The 10,431-nt window shown below is 38.2% G+C and overlaps 1 annotated feature.

The window, feature by feature from the left end:
* Positions 1,323-1,881: an enhancer, noted in NCBI's record as "OCT4-NANOG hESC enhancer chr2:144664226-144664784 (GRCh37/hg19 assembly coordinates)". NCBI's record gives its function as "activates a minimal SCP1, AML or CMV promoter by ChIP-STARR-seq in naive and primed H9 embryonic stem cells {active_cell/tissue: H9 hESC(naive and primed)}" and the evidence as "EXISTENCE:reporter gene assay evidence [ECO:0000049][PMID:30033119]".

The following is a 10,431-nucleotide window of genomic DNA, read 5'->3' on the forward strand; positions in this document are numbered from 1 at the left end:
CCCACACATTAAAAATGCATAGTTTTTGTTTGTTTCTTTGTTTGTTTTTACAAAGGAGCAGAGTATTACTGGAACACAACATATCTTAAGTAACATTTGTATTATGTTATCCATAAAAATCCAAATTTTTTTCATAATTTCCCCCATTCTCACAGTTCTGCAAGTCTTTGAGCCCTATTTCTCCAGAGAAAGAATTCATATCACCTTATCTTCATATAATCAGTTATTATTAAATGCAGAAAATAACATTCCACTAGGCAGCTACTCATAAAGATCTACAAATGAGATGTGTAACAAATGTTTATGGAAATTAGTAAATCAAGATATGAAACAATTATGTCATGTTCTACAGGTATGGTAACGTTAGTCCTCAAACCCAGACTGAAAACATTCTCTGACAACTCTACCACATGTTCAGAATTGAGATTGTTCAAGACTGGTTTTCTGTAGTTACACGAGAGCCCAAAGGGGTGAAACCACCCTGAGATGGATGAACCTCTGAGGTCTAGTAATATGTGGCGCATGTACAGTGTGAGAGAATATGTCCTCGAATCACAGTGGAACTAAATGGCAAACATTTTACAACTTCTGGAAACACATTTCTTTCTGGTTCTTTGATGTAAAGCTAACTTGAGGCTTTGTCCCAGATAGTAACATCCGATACAAAGAAGTAACATAGGAATAAGTTGATTTCTATTTATCAACATAGAATTTAAATAATTTTTTAATAATGAAGAGGCTTTACATCAGGTTAATAGAAAGGCAAAGATAAATGTTTACACAGGAGAAGTGGTGCATAGCTACATCTGTTCTCCCCACACACAGCAGCAAATATTGTGTTCTTTATGAAGTTTTATTTGCTTTTCATGCTTACTGTTGTTTACATGTTCTAAAATCTCTGCACGATGGAGTTTTCAAATGAAATAAAGATATCTAAATACTATAATTGGGAATTTTCTTAGAATTATTTTACCCTTTCTAAAAATAGGTTAATATTTGGCATTAACGTTTTTCAACTTAAAATACAAAATTGTTCTAAAACTGGGAGTTGAGGGTTAAATAGAAAATTAATGCGTATTTGCATTTTTAAAAAGATTTCCAGAAACAGTATTTGTTTTATCTAGTTTTATATTTAACACCTTTTGAGCATGAATCAATTCTCTACTTCTCTCTTTACTTGATCTTTTAAACTAAGATTTTTCTGTAATAACATAAGCCTAATTCTTTGGAAATAATATTCAGTTAGCATAATTGACATTATAGAGTTTTAAAGTACATTATAGAATATTCTGTCACTAGACACTAAATTGAAATTTTAAAGAAAATGATGGAAATTGCTGTAAGGGAAAAAAAGTAGCCTTTTAAATCTAATTTGTTATGCACTGCAGTAGGGTAATGGATGCAATGAAAGTTCTTTTATAGAGTTCCCATGTCCAAAAGGTATTTAGGTAGCAAAGGATGTTAAGCAGACCCCTGCTATCCCCCTTTAACTGAAGATAGCAGGAAACAAGGTATATAGGTCTGTGTCCTCCTGATTTTTATTTCCTCAGGAGTACAACTTCTGCAAAGGACACCTTAGGCTGCTTAGCGATCACAAAGGGTACACTAGAACCCCTCGCTGTCTGCTTGAATAGCACGATCTGAAGGGTGGCTGAAGCCATACAGGGAGTTAAATCCTTCAGGTGGGTCTTTTCAAATTCCAATAGTGAGGAGTTACTGGAGAATTGGTAAGGATTTCACTAGGCCCCAGCAGGTTTGAGATCAAAAGCTTCAGTTAAATAAAAGCCTATTGGGAAATCTTAAAACCTCTTTGTAATGTAACTTTAAAAAGTTAATACAAAGAAACCTTAGACTGAAGCCAGTAACAGCATGAACAAAGAGTATATCAAAACTGATTCCATTAAGAGAAAGCGGACATACAAATTCACTTACTTTAAAGAGCAATCCAGTTATATTACTGTGCGAGAGAATAGAACTTACACCATACCATCCAGCCCATTTAGATGTGCTCATTTCTTGCTACATATGCCAGACTGTATTCTTTGTCATTCTGATATGCTTTTTAAACAACATATATATTCATTTTCTGAAAGAAGAAAGAGTGATGTGCATCTAAACTCACTCCTAAAGAAGATCCTTTTAAAACAAATTAAAATTAAACTTGATGGAGACCCATCAGTCAGCTGGTTATCTCTTTCTCATGGTGTCAAACTGCTAATTGCCCATCCTCCTTAAAATAATAGACCTTCAATTGATATTGATTGGTAGATCATTAATGAGTGCATTAATTATAATGTAATTTTTATAATGAATACTAATCCATTCCTTGGCAAGTCACACCCTTTTATTAACTGAAGTCATTCATTAATGGTTTAGTGGGGGAAAAATGAACTTTATTTGGTTCTGAGGTCTGAATTTTGCATTGGTTTTGAATTTTTCAGAACACTTGTACTGAAATGTCTCATGTACTCAATGTCTCTTACACTTTCACATTAGGCGTGTGAGACGGGTAGCTCACATCTCCTTTTTTCAACAAATAGGGATACTGGAACACACTTAGGACATATAATGTGATCCAGATTGCACAGTCATTTAACGAAAGCTTGGACTACATAGACCCTCTACAGCTTGATTTAAGCCTAGAGACTTTTCAACTGGACAATGTCTCACTGGTCTCACAGATTGCAGAATGTAATTCGAGCTAAGTTGCACATAGCCGTATTCATCCCAAAGAACTCTTTTTCCAAGTAGTCATTACTAACAACGAATGTCCTGACATTTTCATAGTGATAGATGAAGAAACGGAGGCACTTGTACTCACATTCAAAATTTCAGCTCCTTTCTCTCTTCTGTTCTTCAGTTGTCTTGTCTTTTACTTCTCTTCTTCCACCTAATTTTCTTTCCTTTGTTTTTTTTTTTTGTTTGTTTGTTTAATAGAGACATGGTCTGGCTATGTTGCCCAGGCTGGTCTCAAACTCCTGGCCTCAAGTGATCCTCCCATCTCAGCCTCTCAAAGTGCTGGGATTACAGTCATACCTCTTTTCTTCACTCAGTGTGTCATCTGATTGATGACAGGAAAATGAGAACAGGAGAGTGGGAGTTCTACCATTCTCCGTGCATAAGATATGAAAACCTTTACAAAAGGGGCAAGTACTTCCTGAATAAACTATTCCAATAATTTTTTTTCCAAGTACCATCATCACTTCAAAAATATGAACAGGCCTGGGGTGGTGCCTCACGCCTGTAATCCCAGTACTTTGGGAGGCCGAGGTGGGCAGATCACCTGAGGTCGGGAGTTGGAGACCAGCCTGACCAACATGGAGAAACCCCCTCTCTACTAAAAATACAAAATCAGCTGGGCGTGGTGGCGCATGCCTGTAATCCTAGCTACTCGGGAGGTTGAGGCAGGAGAATCATTTGAACCTGGCAGGTCGAGGTTGCGGTGAGCTGAGATGGTGCCATTGCACTCTACTCTGGGCAACAAGAGCAAAACTCCGTCTCAAAAAAGAAAAGAAAAGAAAAGAAAAAATACGAACAAAGATACCAACTAACTGGCTCCACTGAAAGTGTTGCAGTAGGTAGTCAGGCAGAAATGAGCAGAGCAGGAGACGCTGCTGCCCTCCCAGGAATGTCAGGTGACGGCCACGCAGTTGTTAAGCTGTCTCACTAAAATAATAATTGGTTGCAGCTGGTGCCAGGGAACGGTCCTCTCCTATCAGACAGAAACACCTGAAACTGGTGATGAGCAGCTTCCCGATAAGATCTCAGGAGTTGGACGAGTGGGCTTAAGCATGCACACTAAGAGGCAAAATGGCAGAGTTTAACTGGTATATGACCTTCCTCTAGGAACACCAGACTGGTAAGGGAAAAATGCCTCAAGTCACTAAGAGGCAAAATGGCAGAGTTTAAACACTCAACTGGTAAGGGAAAAACACCTCAAGTGAGCATGCGCACAACTCTAGTAAACACACTGCAAACGCAGCCCCTCCCAAGTGCTGGCAGGCCACTGTGCATGCAGACAGCCCACCCCAAGGGAAGAATCAGGGGAGAAGGGACGCACCCCCCGAAGCATGCCAATGTATAAAACCCCAAGTCAGAGGTCAAACCACACACTTGACCGTCTCAAGTCGCCCGTTTGGCCCTCTTCTAAGTGTACTTTACTTCCTATTATTCCTGCTCAAAAAATTTTTTAACAAACTTACACTCCTGCCCTAAAACTTGCCTTGGTCTCTCACTCTGCCTTATGCCCCTCGGTCAAACTTCTTCTGAGGAAGAGGCAATAACTCAGACTGCCGCAGACCTGTACAGATTCGCTGCTGCTAACAAAACAAATAGATGCAATACGTTTGCGACAATTCTGCTTCTGCACATAGTCTCTGGTAAAACACCCTTTAGTGGTGTGCACTCCACCCTGTAGGGGTGTGCCGTCAAACGTTGGGAATTAGCTTTTATTGGTGTCTGCTCTGATGAAATGTTGACTTGGATAGTTGCTCTTTCATCCAATTTGCTGTCTGTGGTAAGTAAAAAAACGTCAAAGCAGTAATAAAAGGTGCATGTGGTTACTAAATCTTTGCTTCCCGGATATGCATGTACGAGTATGCATTCTGTAAGTGTATTTACACATATATTCTATATGAATTACATATGTGTTCCTACAAATATAGTTAACCTACGAGTGTTATTATAATATAAACATTTTACTCTTAACACTGACTGAGTGCTCAGGGGGAACTATGTGACTAGCTTATCTTGGATACTTTATAAACACACAAAGAACTTATTATGCCTGAAGTTATTACTTACTTGTTTAGTGTGCTTCGAATTTTTAAATCCATTCCAATGTACCACTGCATATTCTAGTATTTGAATGTGAGTCTTAAATTCCAAAAGTTCGAAAAGCACTACTCCAGCAATGACTATCTTGATTGAATGCCAAGGTATTTTTTTGAATACTTGGCACACCATCAGCTAGACTCTGGGCCTTATGGAGATGATATTAAAAGTATATGCCATAAAATCAGTTTCAAGATATTTGTAATTTTGTAGTGGATGGAATACCTGCAAAAATGACACACATATTCATGAATTGTTTCATAATTTTAAATTGATCACTCTCTTCTGTGACCCCCACCTTATCTTGCATCTACTCTAACAGAGCATCTGTAAACCTTATTTCATGTGAAATTCACGTCTTCTTCATTTGAGTCAGAGATTGTCTCATTTATCTGTTTCTTTAGTGACAACCACAGTGCTAAACACATGATAGGTGCTTAATAAATGCTAACTGATCTAAGAAATAAAAAATAGATGAGCCACTGGAGGACAAAATGAAACAGATGATTACACGTTGAATTTTTTTCAGTGTCCAAAAGAGAAAAGACAAAAATTAATATCTAGAATTTTTTCAAAGTGAAAATAGCTATTTTCTGACTAATAAATAATACATGCTTGCTGCAAAATATTCAAATATCTCACAATAATTTCTCTGTTAGAGAAAACCAGTTTTAATGATTTGGTGTAGGTGTATGCTCTCAGTAGTTCGCCCATGATTACATAGGGTTGTCATTTTTTTAAACAAGGTTGGAGCCATAGTGTGTGTGTGTGTGTGTGTGTGTGTGTGTGTGTGTAGTTAATACTAACTAAAAATTAATAATAGATTGCTGATACCACTCTTTGGCACAAATGTTTCTCATTAACTGGTTATTGTAGCCTTTATTTTGTATAATTCATAATGTATTTAAATCTATTGACAGATATTTAGATTGCATAAATTTTTTATTCTTATAAACAGTGATTTCATAAACATCTTTTAACATCTTTGCAAGTTCAGATTTATTTTCTTGGCATAAATTCCTAGACATGAAATGGACTTACAGTGTTGAAGTAGTTTGTCAAATTGCTCTCCAAGACAGTTGTGCCAATTTACACTCCCACCAACTGTGCATGAGCCATTTTCCTTATAATCTAAACGGAGTATAATTCTTTTTAAAAATATTTGTTAATCTAATAAAAAGGTAGTTTTTTCATTATTGTTTTAAATCCTAGTGTACTTGGGAACTTTCAAATAAATCAATTCTTGATAAATCACACCTGGCCCACCCAGGGACCATGTCCGGTACCAAACTGACTTCCTTCTGCCAGCCAGCTCCTGACTGAGTTGTCTCTACACCAGCAGAGCTATGAATCAATGAAACAGTACACTCGTAATATTAGGTTAAAAACACTCAGCAGAGATTTAATACATGTATTAAATCTCAAAATAAAAAGTGTTTGATTATTGACTGTTGTAAATACTTTTCATCACTGGTGGCCTCTATAAATGTGGACAAATTGAGTAAATAATAAAATATTTCACAAATTATATAACCCTGTTGTAATACCTATTCTTCAAATCATCACAGAAGACAATCTACCTCTCATTTTTTCAAGCTTCTAGTAGAATTGTCAAAAATTCTACCCCAAAGCCTAGAATTCAATAAGCTGCCAACATAATGTGAGGATGTGAGAAAGAATCTATAAAGCAAGACAGGTGTGTCTGTGTAGCACTGGTGACATTAATACATACCATGTGATATTTCCACAGTCCCAGTATGTCAAAACTTGCATTGGAAAAAGAAAGGACAGCTTTATACTTCAACACTTTACAATCCTAACCCAAAGTGTAAACACTGGTCAATATTCTTACCCATGAATGATGGTAGGATCTTTACTGGAAGGTCATAGAGACTGCACATAGGTCTTTGTGGACCTGGTCAGCATTTCCACAAAACCTGCCAGTAGTATGAAACCTTCCATATTTTGAAGGCTCAAATGTGATGATGCCTACCCCCCTGCACTATTTTACTCGTCACTACAAAAGAAGCTGCGCAGTTGGCCCTCCACACCTGCGGGTTCCACATCTGTGAACTCAACCAGCCAAGGATAGAAAATACTCAGTAAATAAATAAGTAAATAAAAATAATACAACAATAAAAATACAAATTTTAAAAACCAACACAGTGTAACAACTATATCCATAGCATTTACATTGTATTAGGTATTATCAGTAATCTAGAGATGTGCACAGGTTATATGCAAATACTACCGCATTTTATTATACAAAGGGACTTGACCATCAGTGGATTTTGGTATCTGCATGGGTTCTGGAATCAATCCCCTTGATACCGAGGGACAACTGAAGGTGTGTTAGTTGTCCCAAATAAACCCAAAGTTTAGTGGCTTAAAACCACAAACATGTATTACTCCACAGACTCTGTGGATTTGGAATCCGGGCACAACTTAGCAGGGTCCTCTGCTTTAGAATCCGGGCATAGCTTAGCAGGGTCCTCTGCTTTAGGGTCTCCTACAAGGCTGCAATTCAGATATCAGCTGGTGGCACAGTCACATCAAAGTTCAACTGAGACAGGATCCCCTTCCAAGCTTACTCAGTGGTAGCTGAGCAGGATTCTGTTCCTCATAGGTGACTGGAAAGAGGGTCTCAGTTCCTCGCTGGCTGTTGGCCAGGGGCTTCCCTCAGATTCTTGCCATGTGGGGCTTTCTAACATGGAAATGCACTTTATCAAAGCCAGCAAGAGAGAAAGGGACTCTGCTAGCAAGACTGAAGTCACAGTCTTTTATAACCTAATTTTGGAAGTGGCATCCAATAAATCTGGCCATATTCTATGCAGTAGAAAGAAGTCACTAGGACTAGTCCTCATTCAAAGGGAGGGGATTCCATAAGATCAGGAATACCAGAAGACAGAAAACATTGGGGCCATTTTAGAAGTCTATCACAGCAATAACTGCTCAGTTCATAAAGGAGTAAAGGACACTAGAAAAGTAGGAAGGATGCCAAGAGACATGATGAGTGAGGAAGTCCTGGGGAAAAGGTTCATAATACTCTGGTGATATAGACAATCAGCAAACATGGTTGAATCTGGTATTAGTCTCCTTGGGAAAGTGTGTGAAGTCTCAGGTCAAGGTCGTAAAATCATGTATTACTAGGTGATGATGGCAAAACCTGAGACCAAGACAATAACAAATAATAAATATCTTCAAACGAGGGAAATAATTTCATAGCCGAAGTGAAAATAGATCACAATTCTTATTTCCTCAAAATGCTGTGTCCATGAACCTTGACAATGTGAAATTAATGACATTCCAAAGACTGATTTTATATTTACCACATGTAAACATGTCCACATGCCATTATTTGTCATTTGTCAAGCTTAAATTTTGAGTTTTGTTGAGACCACAAACCTGGTGATAATCTAATGTTTGTCCTTACTTTCCACCTATCTCTCACTATGATAAGATAGTTGGTTCAAACCAGATGTATATTTGGGATCATCAAACAAAACACGGAAAAGATAGCTTAGTGATCCATACAGAGGGGCTCACACAATATTTTTATTAGCATGGCTGTTCTAACAAGTTCAGCTAATCAGCTGAGTGTATGCATGTATGGGTTATATACATGATTTTATGATAACAAAAATGAACAGAGATATAGAAGATACATTGTCTTGACAGGTTTTGCTTGGTTTTAGTGCAAAAACTTACTAATTAATGCAAGTGTTGCAATCATTTTTATGACATTCCCCAAAGATGGCACTTTAAGGGTTATGCCATATGCTGATTGACAGCAGCCATAATTCCATACAATGAGACTGTATCATATTGTTTGAAGTGAGGTGATATTCATCTCTTGAAACTGATCAAACATACGATTGCATCAAACAGTATTACAATATAATCATGCTGTATGTGGGGACTGCCAAGGTTGATCAGCATGTTGTACTCTTTTCCCTTGGACTTCTCTAATCGCAGTTGTGACACACCATTGCATTCACATTTTCCTTTAAGAGCTGCAGAATCTAAGACAGAGAAAAAAATCTGCATAAAATTGTGGTTTGGTTATGCTATGTGAGTGTACATTTGTAGACTGCTTTAGAATTACACATTTGCTCCCACTAAGATCTCCCTAAGTACACAAATAAAAACCAAGAAAGACCAAGATAAAAATATAAGATTCCAAACAGGGCAGAAAATAATTCCAATGCCCTTTATTTTTCTTCAATAAAAAGCAAACTTGGAAGACACATCTTCTTTTAAACACTTGTCAGTTTCTGAAGCTCCCAACGATTTTTTTTTTTCTCATGTGCCGTTTGGCAAAGCCACTTGCTTATTGACTGACCTTGGGACTATTCCAGCTGCAGAACGATAAAGGATATAAGAACCTATTCTTTTCCCACCCTTCATTGCTGCTATCTTGGAAAGCAGTATGAAGATGGGCACGAGAGAATGAGGGTCGTTTGGCTTTCCACTAGGTGGCTTTCCACTAGGTGGCTTTCCCAGGTGAAGTCCTGAAACATAGTTGCTTTTAAATTGATGTACTTTAGGGATTTCCCTTTTATTATTCATTTGTCCACCCATCCGTCCATCCATCCATCCGTTCATCCATCCATCCATCCATCCATGCGTCTCATAACTTATAAAAGAGCCATTGGGTTATTTTTAGAACTCTGTTGAAGGTAGCTTATGGAGGAACAAGGGGACAAGTCATCATCTCTTCACGCTGACATAAACAGAGATATAGTGCCCATTCTGGTCCCCCAGTGTCAATTCAAGCAAGTCTCCGAGATGCTACCATCCTATCTAAACCCACCCTAACCCTAACCTTACTATACCCACTATGAGGCCTCTTAGGCCAAATCCCGCTCAGCATTTTTTGGCCTACAGAAGCTATGTGACTTGTTCGGAGACCCATTGGGATGTCGAGAATGCAGAAGCGTTCTCAGACTGGTTACCTGAACACCCCACATAATCACCTCTCTCCTACTGCTCCTTTGCTATGGCGAGCATGGAGGAATTGGAACTGGTGAGGCTGAAGGCCTCCTTGGCCTCCGAAGATATAAGACCACAGAGTTTTTTGCCGCCAGATTCTCCTGCCCTATGGGCATTTCTCCCAACTTGGGTGAGAGGGTCAGGGCACAAAGTCCCTTCACGGAGATGCCACCAACATCAAAGCTCTGTTCTCTGTGCTTTCCTTCTTTTGTCCATGAAATTAATGTCATGTCTTGAGATCTTTAGGGCCTTCCCGTGTAATACACAAATGCCAAGGGGCTTGAAATTCAAAAAGCTGAGAACTGACTCTTTTTTCCTCTTTCTGCTGTAGCATCCATTTTTTACACAAGTAAAGAAGAAAGCCTTAGCTACTGCCCAAAGGTGAATAAAGGTCATCACTTATCCTCTCTCTTGTTTCTTTGTCTTCTAGTTCATTAATTTTGTTGTTTGGCATTTTAATTTCCTTTTCTTAGAGTTTATAATTTTTTCCCTAACATATTGACTAGAACAGTTAATTCACTACTTTGCTTCCTTCCTTTCTTTCTTTGAGACAGGACCTCATTATGTTGTTTAGGCTGGAGTGCAGTGGCTATTCACAGGTGTGAT

This window comes from Homo sapiens, chromosome 2 (genome assembly GCF_000001405.40).
Source record: "Homo sapiens chromosome 2, GRCh38.p14 Primary Assembly".
Lineage (NCBI taxonomy): Eukaryota > Metazoa > Chordata > Mammalia > Primates > Hominidae > Homo > Homo sapiens.